This window comes from Homo sapiens, chromosome 14, assembly GCF_000001405.40.
Source record: "Homo sapiens chromosome 14, GRCh38.p14 Primary Assembly".
Classification (NCBI taxonomy): domain Eukaryota; kingdom Metazoa; phylum Chordata; class Mammalia; order Primates; family Hominidae; genus Homo; species Homo sapiens.
Window position 1 is genome coordinate 31,676,172 of NC_000014.9, and position 26,440 is coordinate 31,702,611.

Genomic DNA, 26,440 nt, shown 5'->3' on the forward strand with positions numbered 1-26,440 from the left:
CGCCACCACGCCTGGCTAATTTTGTATTTTTAGTAGGGACGGGGTTTCTCCATGTTGGTTAGGCTGGTCTTGAACTCCCAACTTCAGGTGATCTGCCCGTCTCGGTCTCCCAAAGTGCTGGGATTACAGGCGTGAGCCACTGCAACCGTCCAGGATGTAGCTTTTTTTTTATATGGTTTCACTTAGCCTAAGGCTTTTGAAATTCATGTTTATTGTTGCATATAATAGTAGTTGGGTCTTCTTTATTGCTAAGTAGGATTCCATTGTATGAATATAATAAAATGTTTTTTTTTTCTGTTGATGAATATTTGGGTGGTCTCCAGTTTTGGGCTATTGTGAATAATACCTCTATAATACTTTTACAGTTGTTCAGAAGTTTTCCAGTTGCTTCACATTTGTGTTAACATTTGGTGTTGTCAGTCTCGTTACTTTTAACCATTCTAATAGATATAAAATGTATCTTGTTATGGTTTTAATTTGTGTTTCCCTGATGATCAATAATATTGAGCCCTTTTCCACATGTGTATTAGATCTCATATTTTCTTTTGTGACGTGTCTGTTCAAGTCTTCTACTCATTTTTTATTTTTTATTTTTTATTTTTATTTATTTATTTTTTAGTAATTGAGTTGTAGGAATTTGTACGTATTTTGGCCATGAGTCCATTGTCAGGTAATAGATATTGGGAGTATTTATCCCAGTCTGTGGCTTGTCTTTTTATGCTGGAGTTTGAATTTTAATGAATTCCAATTTCTTATCTTTTTTATGCTTAGTGCTTTTTGTATCCTCTTTAAGAAATCTTTGCCTGTTTACCCCAAGGTTATAATGATAAGAATGTATTTATTTTTTTTTCTTTTTTAAAATTCTTAATTTAAAAATTTTATGGGTATATAGTAGATTAGTATATTTATGGGGTACATGAGATATTTTGATACAGACAGGCACTGAGTAATAATTGCATCAGAGTAAATGGGGTGTTCATCCCCTCAAGCATTTATCCTTTGTGTTTCAAACAATCGAATTATACTCTTTTAGCTATTTTAAAATGTACCATCAAATTATTTTTTACTATAACTACAGTCACCGTGTTGTGCTAGCAAATATTAGGTTTTATTCATTCTTTCTGTTTGTTTGTACCCATCAGCCATCCCCATTCCCTCCACCCCCACCACCCTTCACATCCTCAGGTAACCATCTTTCTATGCTCTATCTCCATGAGTTCGGTTGTTTTAATTTTTAGGTACCACAGATAAGTGAGAACATGTGATGTTTATCTTTCTATGTCTGGCTTATTTCAGATATTTGAGAGGACTTGAGTGTTGTGATCTAAGTTGTATCTGCTTTAGGGGGCACCCCAAACCTAGTAATGCTTGGTTCTTGCAGACGTGCAGAGGTACTGCCTTGATGGTCTTGGACAAGATGTGGGTGAATTCTCTGGATTACCATTCAGAGGCTCTTGTTCTCTTCCCTTACTTTCTCCCAAACAAACAGAATCTCTCTCTGTCTGTTCTGAGCTACCTAAAGCTGGGGATAGGGTGACACAAGCACCCCTGTGTCCTCTACCACTGTGACTGCACTAGTCAGACCTGAAGCCTGCACAGCACTGGGTCTTGTCCTGCTGTTACCACTATCCGGCTACTGACTATGTTTGCTCAAGGCCCTGTAGCTGTACGATCAGCAGGTGGCAAAGCGAGACAGGCTTGTGTCCTTTCCTCAGGGCAGTGAGTTCTCCCAGACCCCAGGTGGGTCCAGAGATGCCATCTGGGAGCCACAGACTGGAGTCAGAAACCTTAGAAGTCTACCTGGTGTTCTGTTATACTGCTGCTGAGTTGGCAGTCAAAGCATGAGGTGCAGTTCTTCCCATTCTTTCCTCTTCTTTCCACAGGCAGAGGAGCCTCACTCTGTGGCCACCAGCACTACAGACCCACAGGGCATACTTCTAGGCTTCCACTGATGTTCACTTAAGGCCCCAGGGCTCTTCAGTCAGCTCGTGGTGAAGGTTGTCAGGCCTGAGACTCACTCTTCAGGGCAGTGGGCTCCCCTCTGGCCCAGAGCAGGTCCAGAAATGCCATCCAAGAGCCAAGGGACCTAGGACCCCACATGGTGCTCCACCCCACTGTGGCTGAGCTGGCACCTAAGGTGCCAGGCAAAGTCTCCTTTACTTTTCCCTTTGCTTTTATCAAGTAGATGAAGTCTGTCATTGTAGCTACCACAGCAGGGAATGTGCTGTATCTTACCTTAAGCCAGCACATCTCAGAGTCTCACCCAAAGGACCGTGGCATAGTTCCCGGGCATTGCTGCTGGTTGTTCATGGCCCAGAGGCCCTTTATTCAGCAGGTGTTGGTCCTGCCATGACTGGATCCTTCTCTTCAAGGTATCGGGTTACCTTCTGGCCCAGGGTGTGTCTAGGAATGTCGTCCATGAGCCTGGAGTGGGGTCCTCACAGGTCTGCTCTGTGCCCTGTCCTACTGTGGCTAAGCTGGTATCCAAGATGCAAGACAAAGTTCTCTTTGTTCTTCCCTCTCCTGTCCTGAAGTGAAGAAAGGGTCTCTTGTGAAGCCACGACCTGTGCAGCCTGGGGTTGGGGGAGTGTTGGTGCATGCACTCCATTAGCTGCCCTGGCTGGTGTCTTAGTAGGTTGTGTGCTTCCCTGGTCCACTGGCTCTGAGCACAGCTCAGCTCTAGGACTCGCCTAGGAGCTGCAGTCCTTGTAGCCTAGACTCCCTTTGAAGTTTATTTAGAATCCCAGAGCACTCCAGCTCGTGGTGTTGAGGCTTGCTGGAACTCAGGTTCCGACCTCTGGGATGAGCGATTCCCCTCTGGTTAGGGCCAGTCCATATGCTTCCTCTGTGTGCAGGCATCAGGTAGGTGCAGCCTGGTTCTGCTTTTTGCTATGATGGGGCAGCACAAAGTTCAGTGCAAAGTCTCACAGTTGCTGCATTCTCCCTCCCCAAGCACACAGATTCTCTGTGCCACACAGCTCTTGGGTGATGGGGAAGGGTGGAGACCACAATTCAAGACTGTCTTTCCTGACCTTTTCAGTGTGTCTTTCAGTAATATAAAATTGAAACCAGGTATTCTGAGTGCTCATCTGATTTTTGGTTCTTATGTAGGTTTTGTGTATGTGTGTAGAGAGTTGTTAAATTTGGTGTTCCTGCGTTGGGGGCGGGGGGCAATTTTTTTGCAGCCTTCTATTCCACCATCTTGCTTTGCTGTCTCTCTCTTATGTTCTCAAAGCTTTATAGTTCTGTCTTGTACATCTTGAATTAATTTTTATGTGTGAAATAAGGGTCAATGTTTATAATTTTTTATAGTTTATACAGTTATGTTAGCATCATTTGTTTGAAAGACTTCCCTTTCCCTGAATTTATTTATATATTAGATAAAAATCAATTAACCGTATGTGTATCATCTATTCTGGATATGCAGTTGTGCTCCATTGATCTGTTTGTTTAATCCTTACTGTAAAACCACATTGTCTTGATTATTATAGCTTTATAGAAGGCTTAAAATTAGGAAATGTGCATTTTCCAACTGTGTTTTTTCAATTGTTTTGGCTGCTCTAGTTTCTTTTACTTTTCTATGTATTTTAGATTCAATTTGTGCAGAAAAGCATGTTGATACTTTTATTAGGATGATATTCAATATATAGAACAATTTTGGATGAATTGAGATTCTGACAACATTGAGTCTTCTAATCTGTGACCTTTTCCTACATTTTGTTAGAGATTCTTTAATTTCTTGGAGTAATGTTTTATAGTTTTTAGCATATAGGTCTTCTTTTGTTAGATATATCTTTTATGTAATTTATATTTTTTGATCATCTTGTAAATTGAATTGTTATTTAAGTATTGAATTTCAAATTGTTTGTTGCTAGTGTACAGAAACATATACTACTGATTTTTGTACATTAACCTTGAATCCTGTGACTTTGCTAAATTTTAATAATCTAGTAGTTGTTTAGTAACTGTATTAGTGTCTTGTGTGTACATTTATGTTGTCTGCAAATAAAACAGCTTAATTTCTTCCTTTTCAATCCATTCCTTAAATTTGATTTTCTGGTATTCTTATTGCCCTTACTTACTGCCAGTATAATGTTGAACACAGAATTAGAAGAGACATCCTGGCCTTTATCCTGATTTTGGTGGGGAAGAACATTAAGTATTTTGTTGCTATGAAAGATGATAGCTGTATCATGCCCTCTCTCAGGTTAGGAAGTTCCTTCCTGTTTCCTTGTTTCTTGAAAGTTTTTATTGTTAATCATAAATGTTGAATTTTTTCAAATGCTTTTCCCTTACCACTTATTGAAATGATCATATAATTTTTCTCCTTTATTCTTTTTAATTTGGTTATTTATTCTCACTGATTTTCTGATGTTAATGTTTTCTTGATCATATTTTAATTACAATGAGTAATATTGTAATTATAGTTGTCCCTCAATATCTGTGGGGGATTGGTTCCAGGAACTCTATAGGTACCAAAATCCATGAAGGCTCAAGTCTCTTACATAAAGTGGTGAATGTGGTATTCGCATACAATCTACACTCAGCCTCCCTTTAAATAATTGCTGTATTACTTATAATAACTAATACGGTGTAAATAGTTATTATACTGAATTGTTTAGAGAATAATGACAAGATAAGTCTGTACATATTCAGTACAGATGTAACCATCCAATTTTTTTTCTGAATATTTTTGATCTGCAGTTGGTTGAATTCATGAATGTGGAACCCGTGGATATGGTGGGCCAACTGTACTTTTACTGCATTGCTGGATTGAATTTGCTAGTGCAGATATTTTGTTAGACTTTTGCAATAGTGTTTGTGAATAATATTGGTTTGTAATTTATTTTTCTTGTAATATTTTTTTCAAGTGTTATATGAGAGTTAGCCTGGCCTCAAAAAGTAAGTTGGAAAGTACTTTCCTCTTCTGTTTTGTGAAATATCTTGTGTAAAAAATTTATTAGCTTTGGTTTAAATGTTGGTATTTGAAGGAATTTATCGGTGAAACCCAGGCTTGGCGTGCTTTGTTTTGTTTTGGGTTGGTAGAACATTTTTGATGACTAATTCTATTCAGATTTTAAATTTTATCTTGTTTTAATTATGTTAAATTGTGTTTTATAGGAATTTGTTTCTTTTACTTTAATTGTATAATGTACACATGAAATTTGTTCATAATATTTTCTTATGTTTTTAAATGGATATGGGATGTAGCAGTGTTCCCTCCTTATTTCTAATGTTAGTAATTTGTTTATTTTTCTCTTTTATTCTTGATTGTTCTTGCCAGATGTTTATAAACTTTACTGGTTTTTTTTTTCAAAAAAACCGACTTTTCACCCTTAGACGTTTTTCTGTCATATGTTTGTTTCTTATTTCATTGTTTCTGCTTTTATCATTATTATTTCCTTCCTTTCATTTGTATCAGGCTAATATACCCTTCTTTTTCTAGCTCTTAAGGTAGGCAGTTAAATAATTGATTTAAATTTTTTTTTAAATACAAGCAGTTAAGGCTATAAATTTATCTCTTAGGCGTTGCTTAAACTTTCACAAATTCTGATACGTTGGTGTTTTCATTGTCATTCAGTTAAAAGTAGTTTCTAATTTCCTTCTTTTGCCTACAAATATTTTTGGTATGTTGTTTAATATCTGAACATTGGAAGATCTTCTTAATAACTTAATGGCATTGATTTCTAGTGTAATTTTGTTTTGGCTAGAGAATACACTCTGTAATATTTCAGTGTTAAAATGTTTTGAGATTTTCTTTTTGTGGACCAGCACCAGCATGCGATCCATCTTTGTGAATATTTCATACGCTTTTGGAACGACTGCATTTTTAAATTATTTTGGTTAATGTTCTTTAAATATGATTTAGGTCAGGTTGGTTGACAGAGTTCACATTTTTTTGTAACTTTATTGATTTGTCTAGTTACTGTATAAATTAATGAGAGAGGAGTGTTAACATCTCCAGGTATGATTGTATATTTGCCCATTTCTCTCTCTATTTCAATTTTTACTTAATATATTTTGGAGTTCTGTTATACTCTCATATGTTTTGAATTGTTATGTATTCGTGGTGAATTTGCCCTTTTGTTGTTATGAAATACTCCTCTATATCTCTGGTAAATTCTTCATATTGAAGTCTACTTTATCTGATACTAATATAGCCACATTTGCTTTTCTTATGCATATAATTTCATGGAATGTTTTAATTCTTTTACTTTTAACCTTCTATTTCATTATATTTAAAGTGAGTCTCTTGATTTCAACATTTAGTTGTATCTTACTGTTTTATCCAGTTTGATAATCTTTGCCTTTTAATTGGAATGCTTAGTTTATTTACATTTAGTATAATTATTAATGGTTGGGTTTCAGTCTACCATTTTGATTTTTTCCTCATATGTTTCATCTGTTTTTTTCTTTTTTCTTACGTTCTTTGAATAAATGAAATATTTCTTGAATTCCATTTAAATTCTCCATTAGGTCCTTAGCTATCTATCCCTCTTGGTATTATTATTCTATGACTGCTTTAGGGATTATAATATGTTTTCTTATCACAGCCTTCTTAAAGAAAAGTTAATATTGTGCTATTTAATATGTAGTTAAGAATGCTGTGTCTCAGTCCATTTAGTGTTGCTATAAAGGAATACCTGAGGCTGGGTAATTTATAAAGAAAAGAGGTTTATTTGGCTCATGGTTCTACAGACTGTACAAGAAGCATGGCACCAACATCTGCTTCTGGTGAAGGTTTCAGGCTGCTCCCACTCATGGTGGAAGGCAAAGGAGAGCCAGTATATGCAGAGATCACCTGACAAGAGAGAGGAAGTGAGGCGGGGAGGAGGTGCTAGGTTCCTTTTTTTTTTTTTTTTTGACAACGAGCTCTTGTAGAAACTAATAGAGTGAGAACTCTCATTACTTTAAGGATGGCACCAAGCTGTTTATGAGGGATCCTCTTCCATGACCCAAGAACCTCCCACTAGATTCCACCTCCAACATTGGAGATACAATTTCAACATGAGGTTTAGAGAGACATCTATCCAAACTATAGCACCCTGTAACAATACAGTACCATTCACCATCTCCTATATTTTATTGTGATATATTTTAACTATACATCCATTATAAATCTCACATACAGTGCTATAAAACTTATTTAATCATCTTTTAAGCTAGTTAATAAAACAATCTTTTTTTTTTTTTTTTTTTTTTTGTGAGACAGGGTCTCACTCTGTCACTATGCTGTAGCTCAATGGCATAATCTAGGCTCACTGCAACTTCCGCCTCCTTGGTTCAAGCAGTTCTCCTGCCTCAGCCTCCCAAGTAGCTGGGATTACAGGCCACCACATCCAGCTAATTTTTGTATTTTTAGTAGAGACGGAGTTTCACCATTTTGGCTAGGATGGTCTCGATCTCCTGACCTCGTGATCTGCCCGCCTCAGCCCCCCAAAGTGCTGGGATTACAGGCGTGAGCCACCGCGCCCGGCTGCCAAAACAATCTTTTTTATTTACCTACACACTTGCTATTTCAGTACTTTTCAATTTTTCTTTAGATCTGAGTTTAATCTGGTACTGTTTTTCTTTATCTTAAAAATCTTCATTTTTTTTCTATGTTGTGGGTCTGCTGGTGATGAATTTTCTCAGTTTTTATTTATTGGAAATGTCTTTATTTTTCCCTCCTTATTTTCACTGCATATAGAATTTTGAGTTGACATTTTAAATTCAAGTCTTAAATGATGTTCCACTGTCCTCTGGCCTTCAACTGCTACTACCATAGTAGTAGTTTCTTTAGTTGTTCTGTGAGTAAGGTGGTTTTTTCTCTGGCAGTTTTCATAATTTCCTTGATATCTTTGGGTCATTTTTCTTGCCTATCCCTTAAATATTGATGCTTTCCAGAATTACATCCATAGCTCAATAGCTAAGGGCATGGACTCAGAAGTCACATCTGCCTGAGTTTATTCCATTTTCAATATCTAATAGCTGTGTGACCTTGGGCAGAAACTTCTCTGAGCTTTTGTTTTCTCATCTGTAAATGGGGTTGATGGTAGTTACCTCATCATGGGGATTAAATGAGTTAATATGTGTCATATGCTTAGGAAACCTAGTGTCATGTACATGGGTTTTGTAATTATTTTATTTTGTCTGGGTATACTTTTTTTTCACATTTTAACTTATCTTCAATTAAGATGTATTTTGCAATTGATGGCTTTTCAGCATTGCTTTATCCCTGTATTGAAGTGGGGTCCTTTCAGAAAGGTTTTGTATCGTTTTTGCAGTCACCTGGAATGCTTTAACCTGAGGCACTTTCAATTTAATTATCCGTTAGAAGTTTTGGGGACCACTCTGGTGGTATGAATACAGATCGGAAAGCTGCATGTATACCAACTGGTGGTTCATGTTGTTAAGGAGGTGTTTTCTCCCCTCTGCCATGGCCCAAGTTGAGAGATTTCTTTCTAAATTGTGGATTTATATATTATTTATCTTTGGTTTAAGATGATGTAGTCCTTTGGGATCCTAGCTTTATGTAGGATTCTCCTATTAGACCCCAATTTATCTTAGGTGTTTTTTTCGTTTAGTGCTACACAAAATAATGATGCATCTTATAATTAGTGGTGTATTAGATTTGTTGATGTTATAATGGGTATCAACATTGTTACCAGCATTATCCCTGAGACACCTCTTCTGTCATGGCTTGAATTAATGTTGATTATAGTAAGGGAAAGTAATGAATTGAGGACTTCTCTTTGGTTAACATTCATATTTGGAGGTGTGTGATTTAGTGGGAGGAAAAGGAGTTAGTAAACAGGAAAAGAAGTAGTTCAAAAGGTAGGAAAAAACTAAGGATACTAATGTCATGAAGATTAAAGGTTTGGAGCAATGGTTTTCCAACATATCTGTATATTAGAATCATCTAGGGATTTTAAACAATTTTCAAATTTCAGCTCACACCTCAGACCAATTAAATTACAAATCCTGGGCATGTGACCCAGGCATTATCACTTTTGGAACTGTCCACCTGATTCCAGTCTGTGGACAAGTTTGGGAATCACTGGTGTGGAGAGTTTTAAGAATGATAGGTCAGGGAGAACAAGGATTGAGATAGGGCAAGGGAATAATAGATGTTCGGTGGAAATTTGTAAACCTTAACTAGAACAGGGAATGAAAAAAGATTATAGGGGTTTAAGAATACATTTATAACAATACTATGTAGGTAGAGGTGTATTCTACCTATATAGAGAGTATTGTATTCTAAAATAGGCCATTCAAGAATTTGGGGGCTGGGTGAGGGAAAGGAAAGGAAAATAGGATGGTAGCTTAAGGAGGAGTGGTATATTAAATTAAAGCCTTTTTTTTTCTTAAAGAGGACAGCCATACCTTTTACAAGGTGAAAGGATTCAGTGAAGAGGCAGTGAAAATTATAGAAAATGAGAGGATTGTTTTAAAAAATTATGAAAAAGGCAAAAGGGAATAGGATTAAAGGTCAGAGAGGTAAGTTATTTTTGAAAAAGAAGTTCTTCCAAATTTGTGTTTGGAATAGAAAAAAAGGGCAGATAAAGTAATCCCATCCTACCTGACACTAAAAAGAAGTTAACAAAAGGTATTCTTCCCAGTAGACGGGAAAAGATGGTGCATTTATTCAATAGAGCAGTGATGCACAGTTTTTAGTGTTCATGAAAATTACATGGAGAACTGATTTAAAATTCAAATTTATAGGCTTTCTATTCCACTCTCCCACTTGAAGATTTTTATTCAGTAGGTCCCAGGTATGGCCAAGGAATTCACATTTTAATTAGATTATTCCAGGTGACTCTAATGCTGGTGGGTCTAAAATCAGGCTTAGGCATACAATGGTACAGAGGCAGTTCTTTTTAACTGCTTTCAGAGGAATTAAAAAAAAGAGAGATGAGGAGATGAATGATAAGACCCCTGTGTAGCAGCAAAGGCCTACTGGATGCTGAATATCAAAATTTTTACTTTTGCCAAGTTTTTATGACTGTTTTCAATAACTCTTTGAAGCCTGCAAGGTGACATGGGTAAACCTTTTGTTAGATCTAGGATTAGTAACTGGTGTGGCAGAAAGTCCAAAGGAGAAAAATATCCAGGGAATTAATGAGTGGAACACTGAAGTCCTGGTTTCAAGAAAGACAGGTAGTCAAGAGGGATCAGGAGACTGGGTAAAATTGGAGAGATCAAATATGAAACACCTGGAATGAGGAAGAAGCAATTCAGTAGCTGGTAGAAGAAAAGGTGTGAAAAGTGATGGATAAGTTGGTTGTGTTCAGAGGAGGGATATTAGAAACTTAGGCTTTTCTAAAAAATAAAAGAATTTGGAAATGAGGTTATGTGAGGAAAATCAGGTCTCTAGCAAAGCAATAAAAATGTCAAGGATCAAAGTATCACACACTGGGAGCAGGGTTGCCAGGTAATATGTTGGATGCCCAGTTAAGTTTGAGCATCAGACACGCAATGAATAATTTGGGATCTGCCTTTTCTCCATATCCTCGCCAGCATTTGCTATTGCTTTTCATAACAACATGGAATGCTTCACAAATTTATGTGTCATCCTTGTGCAGGGGCCATGCTAATTTTCCCTGTATCATTTCAATTTTAGTATATGTGCTGCTGAAGTGAGCACTTGGGATCTGTCCATACTAAAATATTATTCAGTATGGCTGGGCACTGTGGCTCACACCTGTAATCCCAGTGCTTTGGAAGACCAAGGTAGGAAGATCACTTGAGGCCAGGCGTTTGAGACCAACACGTGCGACATCGCAAGACTCTATCTCTACAAAAAATAAAAAACAGCTGGGCATGGTTGCATGTACCAGTAGTCTTGCTATTTGGGAGGCTGAGATGGGAGGACTGGTTGAGCCTAGGAATTTGAGATTGAAGTGAGCTGTGATCATGCTGCTGCACTCCAGCCTGGGCAACAGAGTGAGACCCTGTTTCAAAAAAAAAATTCATTGTGTATCTCATATTCAGGCATAAATGACTTTGAGTTTCCTGTATAACTGTGTTTGAACTGTTTGAGTCCACTTATATGAGGATTTTTTTCAGTTAACCACATTGGAAAATTTTTTGCAGATTTGGAACAACTTGAAAAAACTTGCAGATGAACCATGTATCTTAGAAATATCAAAAAATTAATAAAACATCACATATGTCATGAATGCCTAAAATATATGTTGATACTAGTGTATTTTATCATGTACTACCTAAAGTATACACAAATCTATTATAAAAGTTAAAATTTATCAAAACTTATGCATACAAAACTTACACACTGTGCATGGTGCCATTAGCAGTCAAGAGAAATGTAAACAAATGTACAGATGTAGTACTACGTTATAACTGCATAAAATTCACTGTACTACATACTATACTGCTGTGATAATTTTGTTAGCTACCTCCTGTTGCTATTGTGGTGAGCTCAAGTGTTGTGAGTATCCACTTAAAATGCTGTGTGCTAATGATCTCTGCGTGAGCAGTTCATTTCTCCAATCAATTATTACAGTAAAAAGTTATGTCTTAGAGTTTTCATGTATTTTTCATTGTGTTTAACATAATACCGTGAACCTTGAATAACACCATGGGACCATGTGAAGTGCCACTAGTGATGCTGGAAGTCTCTGAAGAAGTAGAGGAAAATCACAACATTACAAAAAAAAGTTGAATTGCTTGATATGTACCATAGAATGAAGTCTGCAGCTGCAGTTGCTTGCCATTTCAAGATAAATGAATCCAACCTAAGGACCATTGTGAGAAAAGATAAGAAAATTTGTGAAGTTGTTGCTGCAGCTACATTATCAGGCATGAAAACCTTGCACATTTTGCCAAATACCTTTTTACTTTGTATTGAAAATGCAGCTTATATATGAGTGCAGGATTGCTATAGTAAAGCATGCCTGTAGACTCTAATATTATTCAAGAAAAAAATGAAGTCATTATATAACAACTTAAAGCAAAAGATAGCTGAAGAATCTAAAGGTGGAGAATTTAATGCCAGCAAAGTATGGTTTGATAATTTTAGGAAGAGGTTTCCCTTAAAAAAATATCAATGTAACAGGAGAGGCAGTTTCTGCCAGCCAAGAGGCAGCAGATGAGTTCGTGGACATCATTAAGTAAATCACTGGGCCAGGCGCGGTGGTTCACGCCTGTAATCCCAGCACTTTGGCAGGCCGAAGTGGGCAGATCATGAAGTCAGGAGTTTGAGACCAGCCTGGCCAACATAGCAAAACCCCGTCTCTACTAAAAATACAAAAAGTTAGCCAGGCGTGGTGGTGGGCGCCTGTAATCCCAGCTACTCGGGTGGCTGAGGCAGGAGAATCGCTCGAACCTAGAAGGCCGAGGAGGTTGCAGTGAGCTGAGATTGCGCCATTGCACTCCAGCCCGGGCAACAGTGTGAGACTCCATCTCAAAGAAAAAAAAGAAAAAAAAAAAAAAAAGAAAATCTTTGAGGAGAAAGGCTATCTGCCTGAACAGGTTTTTGTTGTTGTTTTTTTTTTTTTTTAACTTTTAGGTTCAGGGGTTCAGATAAGGGTTTGTTATATAGGTAAACTCATTTCAGGGGGGTTTGTTGTACAGATTATTTCATCACCCAGGTACTAAGCCTAGTACCCAATAATTATTTTTCTTTTCCTCTCCCTCCTCCCGCCCTCCACCCTCAAGTAGGCCCCAGTGTCTGTTGTTCCTCTCTTTGTGTCCATGTGTTCTCATCATTTAGCTCCTACTTAAAAGTGAAAACACGTGGTATTTGGTTTTCTGTTCCGGCATTAGGTTGCTAAGGATAGTGGCCTACAGCTCCATCCATGTTCCTGCAAGAGACCTGATCTCATTTTTTTTTTTTGTGGCTGCATTGTATTCCATGGTGTATATGTACCATCTTTTCTTTATTCAGTCTACCATTGATAGGCATTTAGGTTGATTCCGTGCCTTTGCTATTGTGAATAGTGCTGCAGGGAACATACAAGTGCATGTGTCTTTATGGTAGAATGATTTATATTCTTTAGGGTATATACCCAGTAATGGGATTGTTGGGTTGAATGGTAGTTTTGTTTAGCTCTTTGAAGAATCACCATACTGCTTTCCACAATGGTTGAGCTAATTTACACTCCCATCAACAGTGTATATATAAGTGTTCCCTTTTCCCCCCACCCTTGCCAGCATCAGTTATTTTTTGACATTTTAATAATAGCCATTCTGACTGGTGTGAGATACTGTCTCATTGTGGTTTTGATTTGCATTTCCTTAATGATCAGTGATGTTGAGCTTTTATTCATATGCTTGTTGGCTACACATATGTCTTCTTTTGATAAGTGTTCATGTCCTTTGCCCACTTTTTAATGGAGTTTTTTTTTCTTGTAAATTTGTTTAAGTTCCTTACAGATGCTGGATATTAGACCTTTGTCAGATGCATAGTTTGTGAATATTTTCTCTCATTCTGTAGGTTGTCTGTCTAGTCTGTTGATAGTTTCTTTTGCTGTGCAGAAGCTTTTAAGTTTAATTAGATCCGCCTGTCAATTTTTGCTTTTGTTGCGATTGCTGTTGACATCTTCGTCATGAAATCTTTGCCATTCCTATGTCCAGGATGGTATTGCCTAGGTTATCTTCCAGGGTTTTGATAGTTCTGGGTTTTACATTTAAGTCTTTAATCCATCTTGAGTTGATTTTTACATATCATATAAAGAAGGGATCCAGTCTGAATCTTCTGCATATGGCTAGCCAGTTATCTCAGCACCACTTATTGAATAGGGAGTCCTTTCCCCATTGTTTTTTTTTTTTGTCAGCATTGTTAAAGATCAGATGGTTGTAGGTGTGTGGCCTTATTTCTGGGCTCTCTATTCTGTTTCATTGGTCTATGTGTCTATTTTTGTACCAGTGCCATGCCTTGAACAGGTTTTTAATGCAGGTGGAATTGACTCATTCTGGAAAAAAAAAATGCCACAGAGGACACTTATTAGTAAGGAAGAGAAGTGAGCACCAGGATTTAAGACAGGAAGGGCTAGGCTAACCCTATTATTTTGTGCCAGTGCAGTTAGGTTTATGATCAGGGCTGCCCTTATCTATAAAGCTGCTAACCTCTGAGCCTCAAAAGGAAAAGATAAACACCAGCTGCCAGTCTTTGGGTTGGACAACAATAAAATTTAGTGATAACCCCTTTTCTGGATTGGGTCCACTGACGTGTTTTCCTTGAAGTCAGGAAGTACCTTACCAATAAGGTACTGCCTTTCAAAATTCTTTCGATATTGGACAATGCCCCTGGCCACCCAGAACCATATGAGTTCGACATGAAAGGTGCTGAACTGGTCTTCTTGCCCTCAAACACAACATCTTTAATGTATCCTCTAGATCAGGGGGTTGTGAGGACCTTTAAGGCTCATTATGCAGGATACTCTATGGAAAGGATTGTCAGTGCTATGGAAGAGAACCCTGGTAGAGAAAAAATCATGAAAAAGCTGTTAAAGCTATCAAGCCCAAAAGAAATTCCTGCTGGAGAAAAGCTGTGTCCAAATGTTGTTCATGACTTCACGGAATTTATGACAGAGTCAATCAGGAAAATCATGAAAGAGATTGTGGATATGGCATAAAAGATGAGGGATGAAGGGTTTCAGATATGCACCTCAGAGAAATTCAAGACCTTGTAGACGCCACACCAGAGGAATTAACAGGAGACAACTTGTTGGAGATGAGTGCTTCTGAACCAGTGCCAGACGATGAGGAAGAATTAGTAGAAGAAACTGTGCCAGGAAACAAATTGACATTAGACAACATGGCATAAGGATTTTGATTATTCAAGACTGCTTTTGGCTTTTATGACATGGACACTTCTATGATGCGGGCACTGAAACTAAAGCAAACAGAGGAAGAAGGATTGGTACCATATGGAAACATTTTTAGAGAAAAAAAAATCAGAAATTACGATGTATTTCCATACACTAATACTGAGCCCCCTAAGTACTTCTCATGGGAAGAGCCAAAGAAGTTTGTCACTGCCACCCCTAAGACAGCAAGACCATTCCCACCTCTTCCTCCTTTTCCTCAGCCTACTCAATGTGAAGATCACGAGGATGAAGACTTTTCTGGTGATCCACTTCCACTTAATGAATAGTAAATATATTTTCTCTTCCTTAATAACATTTTCTTTTCTCTAGCTTACTTTATTGTAAGAATACAGAATATACTATAACACAAAATATGTGGTAATGACTGACTATGCTATTGGTAAGGCTTCTGATCAACAGCAGGGTATTAGTAAAGTTTTTTGGGAGTCAAAAGTTATATGCATATTTTTGACTGTGAGGGGATCAGTATTTCTAAGCTCTGTGTTGTTCAAAGGTCAATTGTACTATTATTTGCTAAATCTGGTAACCCTAGATGGAAGTGATGTTTCTTAAAAAAGACAGGAAGGTGGGTAATAGTCAGGTTGGGAGAAGGCAGACATAATGATGCAGTGGAGCTGAATTGCTTGAGAATAAGAGTTTGAGGTAATATTAAGGGAATATGTTTAGCCCAGAGTGGCAGGCTCGTGAGTAGTGGAAATGAGGCGAACATTAGAGTAGGAGGTGGGGTGAAGAATTATACCAGGACGGGGCAGTCTTGCCAGGATTGTTCCTTGTAATTTCATTAAGGAAGATGGTTTGTCAATGCCTTTACCAACCTCTGCAGCTTCTTCTGAAGGATAACTTATTTTTTAGGATACATGAAGTCTCTTGGTTTCAACTGGCCACTGTTTGGTAATCTGCATAATTTCACCATATGTCCTTCTAACCTCATCTGCTAGAAGGAAGGGAAAAGATTGATGGATAAATATGGTGTATGTTCATGAATGCATTTTGTGATGCCTTGGGAAAAAAGCATGTCAGGATATATATATTTTTTTAAAGTTAACTTTAGGATCTATTAGGAAAAATAGGCAGATATATGCTAGGATGTTATTTTGAGTATTAGATTTATCAGTATGTGTTGCTTTTTATTCTCTTGATATTTGAAACAATTTCCTTTTATTTTCTATTTTGACTTTAATAATTATAGGTGTAAACATCTAATACATTTCACTCAATGAATAACTGATAATTTAAAATTTTTCTGTTGTTAAGATTCCTGATTAGTATTTTTTTTCCTCCTGAATTGTGCTCCTGAACATAGATATAATTAGTTTAATGCAAATGAGAAAAGTCTTTTCTTAGAATCTTTGTGTTTTAAACTATGTGATATTGAAAAAACCAACTTTAGTTATTAGAAAAAAGCCACAGAAAGAAAAACTTCAAAGGCTACTGTGATGTCAGCACCTGCTGTGGTCATAGTGTAAACCCTGGAGACCAGGGATTTTGGCAGCAGTTTTAGTGCTTTTAGTTCAATCTTCAGTATCCCCAAATGTGAAGCAGATGCCAGTTTTCTTCTCTAGGCTTCTGATAATGGCATATAATGAGTTGGTTGTTTCCTAGCAACTAAAGAAGCAGTTTCACTTTAGCTGATCCTGCAATAGAAATGAGACATTTTCCCTTGATAGTTGTTATTAGTGATTTCCCTGACAATGGAATTTCACTTTTGAATAAGGAATATTCTCAGCTTTTGGTTTCCTAAAGAATTTTGATTCTGAGTTGCGCTAAGCTCTGCTTAATCCTGTATAAAATGAAAAAAAGAAATTGAGTCCCCTAAGTACCTCTCATGGGAAGAGCCAAAGGAGTTTGATACATAGTTTCTTAAATGGCAAGTGATTATACAAGAAGCTGTAATAGGTGTATTTTCTCAGTGTTTAACAGAATAATTAATGACCACATTCTTTTTTTTTTCCCTGCTTAATATTTGCAGCAGTAGAGGTTTCTTAGGTAATGGCCAATGTATGTCGAAATAAATATTGTAAGTTTTTATTACAAGTGCCATTTTGATATAAAGTCAGTATAAGGAAAACATATTTTAAAATCTATAACCCATTTGATTTCAAACAGTATTCTGTATTAGAAATTATTATTATACCCAATGATTTTAAAGGCTCTTAAAATAGTTCACTTTAAGGTGAATTGTGAAACAATTCAGTGTTTAAATATTAGTAGTTGTAAGGCATCCATAATTGACTGAATCATATCTAAATCCTTCTAATTTGAAAGTAGTAATAGATCTGGATATATTCAGCCTCTTAAGATATATGGAGGCATGAGAAAAATACTTCAGACGACCTTCTTTGTAGTCATTCATAGTTTAAATAGTTTCTAAGGAAATGATCCATTTTTCTTCCTTTGACATTATAAAACTAATATAAGTTACCATCCTCATCCACCTCATCCAAATTTATGGTATGATATATTAAGTTATGCCTAAGTGTCAGAGAGATAAAATATTAAATTATGTTCTTAAGATATTAAGTTAGCCATATCTAAATATACCAAAGAAATTTATTACCTTGCATGGAAAAGATTCATAGACTATGCATTAACTATAGGTGAAGTCATTGAATATTGTTATTGTCAGTTTGGGGCATGTGACCTTATTAATTTCTTTTTATGATTTTTGCATCATCAGGTACTCTAGCAGGCCTCATATTTTAAAAATGCTTTAAACATTAAGGAATGAGGAACATTAATTAATTCAGTTTTCAGTTGGACAGGGCGGTAGCCTTTTAGGCACCTAAGACAAAATTAAAAAAAAAAAAAAAAAAAAAAACCTTTAAACATGAGGTAGATTTTCTTTTCTTTTCTTTTTTTTTTTTTTTTGAGACGGAGTCTCGCTCTGTTGCCCAGGCTGGAGTGCAGTGGCGTGATCTGGGCTCACTGTAAGCTCCGCCTCCTGGGTTCACACCATTCTCCTGCCTCAGCCTCCTGAGTGGCTGGGATTACAGGCACCCGCCACCATGCCTGGCTAATTTTTTGTATTTTTAGTAGAGACAGGGTTTCACCGTGTTAGCCAGGGTGGTCTTGATCTCCTGACCTCGTGATCTGCCCACCTCGGCCTCCCAGAGTGCTGGGATTACAGGCGTGAGCCACCGTGCCTGGCCAACATGAGGTAGACTTTCTATATAATATAGTTCAGTTATTGTTTTTAGATTTATTTGGGAGCTTAATGTGAAGCTAAGGAATCAGGTACATTAATCCTGATTTTGAATTCTCCTTTCCATTTTAAAATTATAGATTAGTGAACAAGGAAATAGATACATAACTAAAGTCCAGTTCTTTGAAACATTTGTATAAGGCAGTATTATTTGGTGAGTAGCTTAGTTTGATTAATCTAACAGAAGTTCTTTTTGGGCATTTTTTCACTCATTTAGTAATTATTTATTGAGCTGACAGCAGATACTTATTGCTGTACTTTAAAAATGTCATTGGGCTTTTTGTCATCTTACAGCAACATACATACATACATACATTTATTTATTTATGATGGAGTATTGCTCTGTCGCCCAGGCAGGAGTGCAGTGGCGTGATCTCAGCTCACTGCAACCTCCGCCTCCTGGGTTCAAGCGATTCTCCTGCCTCAACCTCCTGAGTAGCTGGGATTACAGGTGTGCGCCATGACGTCTGGCTAATTTTTGTATTTTTAGTAGAGACGGGGTTTCACCATGTTGGTCAGGCTGGTCTGGAACTCCTGACCTCATGATCTGCCCGCCTCGGCCTTTCAAAGTGTTGGGATTACAGGCGTGAGCCTCTGCACGCAGCCAGCAACAGACATTTATTGGCTATTTACTATGTTTGGGCCATTGGTTAGATGTTGAGGTTACACAGTTGTATAAGACATAGATCCAGAGTTCAAAATGTTAAATAAAGCCTTTAGTTACAGATCTACTTTTGACTTGTAATAATAAGCAAGAAATATAGATATGCTAGAAGTTTTGATGATTTAAAAAATACTGTTGTGCAATGTTTTATTTAAGGCAATCAAAGTTGGAATTTAGAGAACAAGGCTGAGTGTTACATAGTGTTGACCATCAGGTTGGTAATAGTGTTACACAGTATAAAAGTTTGCAGTCTCATTTAAGGTCCATGTCATAGCGCAAACCCTGTTAGTCAGCATTGAAAGAGAACAAGTTGTTAGAAGGAGTTAGAAACAGCCTATGAATATTAATTGCTGGTTATTTCCTTCTACTTAAAATGTCCTTCTTTTTCTGTTGTCAGATGACTTACATGTGTACCTACAACTCACTGTGATGATGAGTACTTATATATGCAGTTTTTGAGTATTGTAGTGTTCCTTTTTTTTTTTTTTTTAAATGTTGCTACTGGAGCTATCTAAGACCAAAAATTACTGCAACTTTTTAGATTGGCACCAACTGTTCCCAGTTTCCCACTCACTATGGTTTGGGTGTTGGTCACCTCCAAATCTCATGTTGAAACTTGGTCCTCAACCAGGCAGTGTTGGGAGGTGGGGCCTAATGACAGGTGTTGGGGTCGTGAAGGGCTGAGTCCTCATGAATGAATTAATGTTATCATGGGAATGGGTTAGTTATTACAAGAGTGTATTGTTGTATAGTGAGCCTGGCCGCTTGTGCTTTCTCTTTTGCATTGCTTACTCGTCCTTTCTTAATGGAATCATGCAGCACAAAGGCCCTCACAAGATGCTGGTATCTTGACCTTGGACTTCCTAGCCTCCAGAACCATGAGGTAAATAAAACTCTATTCTTTATAAATTACCCAGTCTGTGGTATTCAGTTATAGCAACAGAAAACAGACTAAAACACCGCCTGAGTCATTTGTGCCAAATTTCTCAAGTGCTGTAGTAGATTTGGTCACTGTTATTACTTCACTAATTTACTTTTATTTTTTGGTTTCTAGTAATGCAGGTATAGAGACACTTTTCACTTGATAAAATTACGTAGTGATCTGATGCTTTAAATGGGTAATTTTATCAAGAAAGCAATATAAATAAAGTAACCAAAGTATAAAATAAGGAGGGGAGTTACTGTTTTAAAGTATCAGCCACTGATATTTCACTGCTTGTGCTGTGTAGTTTTGAATTGTAGCAATTTGAAAAGCTGGGAGGGACCTGGCTCTTGGAGTATTTTTCTAACCCAACACCCAGGGAAGATCTCCTGCTGCAGCCTTCTGGTTATATATAGCTGAGCTAGATTATATTCTGCTCTATATTATTGATCAGTCTTCTTGGGTCAACTCTAGTTCTGTCATCTTTGGAAGAGGAAGGTACTTTACTGTTCTTGGCCATGAATTCCTTCTTTAGGCTTTAGGTCTTGCAGACACATCTTGCACTGTTCTGGATGCTAGCATGTCATCTCTTGTTCTCCCATTCGTTATATCACTAGCTATTTCCTCACAGTGGCTCTCTCCTTTGTCAAGGTTATGCTTCTTTATCTCGTTACATGGCCTTCTTCCTTAGAACTTTTCAATATGGTATTAACTTCCTCATCCCTGATCTTGCCCTTAATTCCCAGTTTAAAGTCTTTGTTTACTTTGGAAATGACTTTTCGCCTGAGTGAAAAAAAAACGTGTTCTCAACCCATTTGTAGACTAACTCAGGCTCTGAAAATGATTGAAGCTGTGGGCTCAGGTTACCAATTTTACTTTCCTGTCATTGATTCAAATGCTCCCTAAAGAGAGAGGTAGACCTTTCCCTGATTCTGTCCATTCATATTAATTTCTCATTCTCACTAAGTGAACATTAGAGAATTAGAAACCTTCAGAACATAGAATTGGGGGTATAATTTGACTGTTTAAATACAAACATAAAAGTTTAACAACAGATTTCATTTCTGATTTTTCTGGCTTCTAACTAAAGAAGTAAAAATATAAGAGAAAAACGGAGTGTCTTGTCTAACTCCAGGCCTGAATCTGAAAAGAGAACAGGAAAGGAAGTAACAAGAAAGAGAAAGGACATAAAGGTACTATGAAATTGAAGCCATCATTGTAGTTTAAATTTGACCAGTGTTTCAAATATAAAGCAAAGATGTTTGGGTCGTCTTTTGTTCTGACCAGACAGATAAACTTTTCTCATTTCCTTCTTTGTGTATCTACCAGAGGAAAGTAATGAAATAGAGGTCCTGGAACAGTTCATGTTAAGGGTAGGCTCTAACTGTAGCTCTGACAAAAGTAGGAAGCATGCAGAAAGCTGGCTTGTTTATAAGAGATAAAATGGCACAGTCTTATTCAATTGAAAGCCAACAATCAAAATTAGAGCAAAAGGAAGCACTATTAGAAAAATGTGCCAAGCCAGTGAAATATATTGATCAAAGGGGAATGAAAGATATCAGACACAGTTTATTAGCAACAAAAAATAGTGAGGCTGAAGTAATTTGCTTTTGAAAATAAATAAATTAAAAGGAGGCTAATTACCACCTTTACAATGTCCTATTTCTACCTTAAACACTTCCAGAAGCATGCCTTTTTTACTCTATCTGTTGTTCAATGCAGACTTAAAATTTTGTGTTAATCAATATTTATTCTGCAATGCCAAGGTGACAAACAAAAATATGAAAAGGCTGTTAGGGCTTAACATTTTTGTTGCAGATTAAATATACAGCATTGAAAACTGGAAAGGCATGACTTCATCTCTGACCAGCAGAGTTAAAGAGAAAAATCTCTCCATTTTCCATGATGCAGACTTTGAAGAATAACCTACAGTGATTTGAACTGAGTTAGGATGAGGGTAATTATAAAACATAAGAGTCTTGTCTTCTGCAGTGATAATTAAGAAGCCTTAATAAAGGTCACATGAGATGACTTGCTGAGCCTTTAGGAGAGCTTCTTAGAGTAGTGGCCCCTGTTGAACAGGTAAGGACTTACCCTATCTCTTTTGGTGCAGTCGGGGATCATGGGATCAGAGTCAGATGTCAAAAGCCTACTGGGGCTATTTAAGCTCCAGGAAGACTTGAACAGATCCCAAGCAGGCGATGAGAAGAGTAATAAATATTATTGGGGACTTCCAGTACTGGAGATTATGACCTCTTTTTACTATTTAGGTATATACTGTATTTCATTGACTTTAAGTTACGTATTTTTCAAATTTTAATATCTCTGAAATTGGAGAGTATTTTATAATCAGTAACATCTTGGCATTGTGTCAGTTTAATATTTAGCATTGTTTTCTTTCTTGGTTGTATATAAAATAATGGTGTATCTTCCAATCTATGGTGTTTTAGATATGACGAGATATAGTCAATGTTTTCCTTATAATTATTTTAATACTGATTGAATTGTATTCCCATCTTTGCCGTCATTGCTGCAGAGCGATTCTACGTCATTCATTTTGGTCTTTTTTTTTTTTTAAGTGTTGAAAGACTATTTTAAACTGATGGCGGCAGTTTTGGTAACTTGTTTTAGTAACATCCTCTTTTATGCCCTCATCACTGACTTTATTTTCCCCCCATCACTTACCAGAGATTGCCAGATGATTCTTCCCAAAGCATAACTCTCATGTCAGTAATTTCAGAGACCATCAGTGTCTCCTTGCTACTTTTTAAAGCAAGCTACCCTCTGGCTTTATTCATTTTTTCAGTAGTTAGATGTTAGGGATATTGTTATAAATAAAAAAGGCACGAAACCTGTCCTATAGATTCTTTTGGCTACTGCGAACATTTACTTACTGATTTTTTTTAAGCCAGTGCTATGTGATCATTCATAGTTTGAAAAAAATTTCTATACTATTTGCCTTCATAGGCATGTGTCTGTGTTCACTACTTATTTTTCGTATTATTATTAATGTGGTGTTGATGGAAAGTCCACCAAAAGAAGTGACTCAATAGTGACTTACACTTTTTTTTTTTTTTTTAAGACAGAGTCTCGCTTTGTCACCCAGGCTGGAGTGCAGTGGCACGATCTCGGCTCACTGCAACCTCCGCCTCCTGGGTTCAAGCAATTCTCCTGCCTCAGCCTCCCGAGTAGCTGAGACTACAGGCATGCACCACCATGCCTGGCTAATTTCTGTATTTTTAGTAGAGATGGCATTTCGCCATGTTGGTCAGGCTTGTCTTGAACTCTTGATCTCAAGGAATCCACCTGCCTTGGCCTCCCAAAGTGCTGGGATTACAGGCATGAGCCACTGTGCCTGGCCCATAATGACTTAAATATCTTTTAAAAATATTTTTTGTTTAGGGTAGGCCTATATGTCTGTAGCAACAAATATATTAGACTTTTATAGTTAGTTTATTTTGGTAGCATCTAAATGTGGTGTATTAATTATCTGAATGCAGAAAGCATCAAATTAAATAGGTTGAATTGATATATTATCCCTAGACAATAATATTTTACTAAAAGTAGCTACCTATTATTAGGTATTTATTATCTGCTAAGACTTATACTGTTTATCTGCATTCACATTTAAATCACACAATTCTATATAATGTACTATTACTATTATTTTTACAAATGATGAAACTGAGGCACAATGAGGTTAAATAACTTGGGCAGGGTCCTACTTGTAATCTCTCTGATTCTCTTGGCTCAGCTTTTAACTAAACTGTACAACTGAAGTTTTAAAATTTTAAATTTTTGCTTGAAAGATTGAAAACACTCTTTTTAATGTCATCCCTGAAACGCTAATTGACAAAATATTAAGAGTATTCTTTTGTTTCCCAAGTTCTCATTCAGCTACAAGTTTTGTATTTTATACGTTGTATTTTATAAGACATTTCTGAGTGAATGTATCTGTAAATATCTTTACTCTGAAATATATTTTTGTGAAGTTTATATGGAGACCTGTTATAAAGTCTTTTTAGTAGTGTTTGGCAATGAGAAGTTTGATACTCTTCTATGTTGTGATGTCAATAACTGCAGTAATATAATTCATTTATTAAGTATAGTAACTGTAGGATTAGATTTTAAATGTTCTTACCATAATGAAATTTTAAAATGTTAAGTATGTGAGGTGATGAGTATGTTAGTTGCTTGATTTCATCATTCTGCCATGTCAGCATGTATCCAAACATCACATTGCACCACATAAATATACTGTGCAGTTATTATTTGTCAATTAAAATAAGGTAAAACTTAAAAATTGAATTAAAATTGTTATACAGTATTCATTATTTGGGCTTAATTACATTTCACTGAGGTACAATGGCATTTCCCAGTTACCCAGAACAAGTTATTATTCAGTAAAGGGAAATAAGTTTCTGTCCAGCGACACAGTAAATGTCTGTATTATCCAGATTAAAACCCAACAGCTCTTTTCTTAGTGGTTAATTGTTGATACTTCTACACTGTTAAGAGGGATTTGTGGAAGCAGATGGCCATTAGTAGTTCAGTAGACTAGTTACTCTTCAGTAGTAGTGAGAGGTGACAGCGTGCTGGCAGCCCTCGCTTGCTCTCGGTGCCTTCTCGGCCTCAGCGCCTACTCTGGCCATGCTTGAGGAGCCCTTCAGCCCACTGCTGCACTGTGGGAGCCCCTCTCTGGGCTGGCCAAGGCTGCAGCCGGCTCCCTCTGCTTGCGGGGAGGTGTGGAGGGAGAGGTGTGGGTGGGAACCGAGGTTGCATGTGGCCCTTGCAGGCCAGCGCGAGTTCCGGGTGGGCGCAGGCTCGGCGGGCCCTGCACTTCGAGCGGCCGGCCAGTGCCACTGGCCCCGGGCAGTGAGGGGCTTAGCACCTGGGCCAGCAGCTGTGGAGGGTGCGCTGGGTCCTCCAGCACTGCCGGCCTGCCTGCACTGCACTTGAATTCTTGCCGGGCCTCAGCCGCCCCTCCACAGGGCAGGGCTCAGGACCTGCAGCCTGCCATGCCCCAGCCCCCTCCCCCCCACCACCGTGGGTTCCCTCACGGCCTGAGCCTCCCCGACGGGTGCTGCCCCCTGCTCCAGGGCTCCCGGTCCCATCGACCGCCCAAGGGCTGAGGAGTGCAGGTGCGCGGCGCGGGACTGGCGGGCAGCTCCATCTATGGCCCCAGCACAGGATCCACTAGACAAAGCCAGCTGGGCTCCTGAGCCGGCTGGGGACTTGGAGAACTTTTATGTCTAGCTGGAGGATTGTATGTGCACCAGTCAGCACTCTGTGTCTAGCTCGGGGTTTGTGGATGCACCAGTCAGCACTCTGTATCTAGCTAATCTGGTGGGGACTTGGAGAACTTTTATGTCTAGCTAGAGGATTGTAAATGCACCAGTCAGCACTCTGTGTCTAGCTGAAGGTTTGTAAATGCACCAGTCAGTGCTCTGTATCTAGCTCATCTAGTGGGGACTTGGAGAACTTTTATGTCTAGCTAGAGAATTGTAAATGCACCAGTCAGCACTCTGTGTCTAGCTCAGGGATCGTAAACGCACCAGTCAGCACCCTGTCAAAATGGACCAATCAGCTGTCTGTAAAATGGACCAATCAGCAGGATGTGGGTGGGGTCAGATAAGGGAATAAAAGCAGGCTGCCCAAGCCAGCAGCGGCAACCCACTTGGGTCCCCTTCCGCATGTGGAAGCTTTGTTCTTTCGCTCTTCGCAATAAATCTTGCTGCTGTTCACTCTTTGGGTCCGCGCCGCCTTTATGAGCTGTAACACTCACTGCGAAGGTCTGCAGCTTCACTCCTGAAGCCAGCGAGACCACAAACCCACTGGAAGGAATGAACAACTCCAGGTGTGCCACCTTTAAGAGCTGTAACACTCACTGTGAAGGTCTGTAGCTTCACTCCTGAAGTCAGCGAGACCACGAACCCACCAGTAAGAAGAAACTTTGGACACACCATCTTTAAGAACTTTAACACTCACTGCGAGGGTCCGCGGCTTCATTCTTGAAGTCAGTGAGACCGAGAACCCACCAATTCCAGACACAATAGTTTCACCTAATGTCAAGTATTGGATTACTTTCAAATCATTTTTATTCCCTGTGAACAAATAGATTTAGAGAGAACCCTTTGCAATATGTGAATAGTTTAGGTCAAATAATGGTGTTAAAGAGCATAGTCCCCATGAGACTGCCCTTACTTTTGACATTGACTGCAAGTGTAGGGGTTCCCAAGATCACCCTTAAGTTCAATAATTTGTTAGAAGGACTCAACTCACTGAAAGATGTTATACTCACACTTATAGTTTATTACAGGAAAAGAGTACATATTAAAATCAGCCAAGGGAAGAAGTGCATAAGGTGGAGTCTGGGGAGTTATCAAATGCAGAGCCTCTGTTGTCTTTTCCCCTCAGAATCAGTCTGTTAGTCTCCTGGCATTGATGTATGATAATACGGGTGTAGCATTGCCAACCAGGGAAGCTCATGTGAGCCTTGATGTTCAGAGTTTTTATTGGGGCTCCGTGATAGGGGCATGATTGATTGTCCATATGGCTGATCTCATTCTTTTGTCTCCTGTCCCTCCAGTCATGACCCAAAGCCCCCACTCTAAATCACATTATTACTACATGGCTAGCTCAAGGCCCATGAGCAGAGACCTTAGAGATTACATCCTAGAAGCTGAGGTCAAAGACAAATTATCTTGGGGCCTTTTGGGGCAAGGTTAAATTCTTTACAGAAATAATGTGAATAATACTGGTTTCCAAAATGAATGTATGTGTAAAGCTAAATTTGGATATTAACCTAGTAGCTATGA

General features: G+C 38.0%; 1 protein-coding gene and 1 pseudogene across 12 annotated transcripts in view, besides 1 other annotated feature; one reads left to right on the forward strand and one right to left on the reverse strand.

Moving 5' to 3' along the window:
• Positions 1-26,440, forward strand: part of NUBPL (NUBP iron-sulfur cluster assembly factor, mitochondrial) — a 299,821-nt gene that overhangs the window by 114,768 nt on the left and 158,613 nt on the right. For 2 of the 12 annotated variants that reach the window (XR_007064050.1, XM_011537183.3), the window contains exon 7: positions 19,520-19,583. The exons of 9 other annotated variants lie outside the window; for them this stretch is intronic. Coding sequence is in view for 2 of the 3 variants with exons in the window: in XM_011537183.3 (XP_011535485.1) it covers positions 19,520-19,552 (33 nt within the window). In the remaining variant the exon portion in view is untranslated. Of the gene's footprint in view, positions 1-4,871; positions 17,663-19,519; positions 19,584-26,440 lie in introns of those variants that run through there. One more of the 12 variants, XM_017021664.2, reaches the window with a different exon arrangement.
• Positions 7,154-7,341: a silencer, noted in NCBI's record as "fragment chr14:32152531-32152718 (GRCh37/hg19 assembly coordinates)". NCBI's record gives its function as "represses an EF-1alpha promoter that drives an FKBP-Casp9 reporter gene in an ReSE screen in K562 erythroleukemia cells {active_cell/tissue: K562}" and the evidence as "EXISTENCE:reporter gene assay evidence [ECO:0000049][PMID:32094911]".
• RNU6-455P (RNA, U6 small nuclear 455, pseudogene) lies at positions 10,521-10,627 on the reverse strand (annotated as a pseudogene).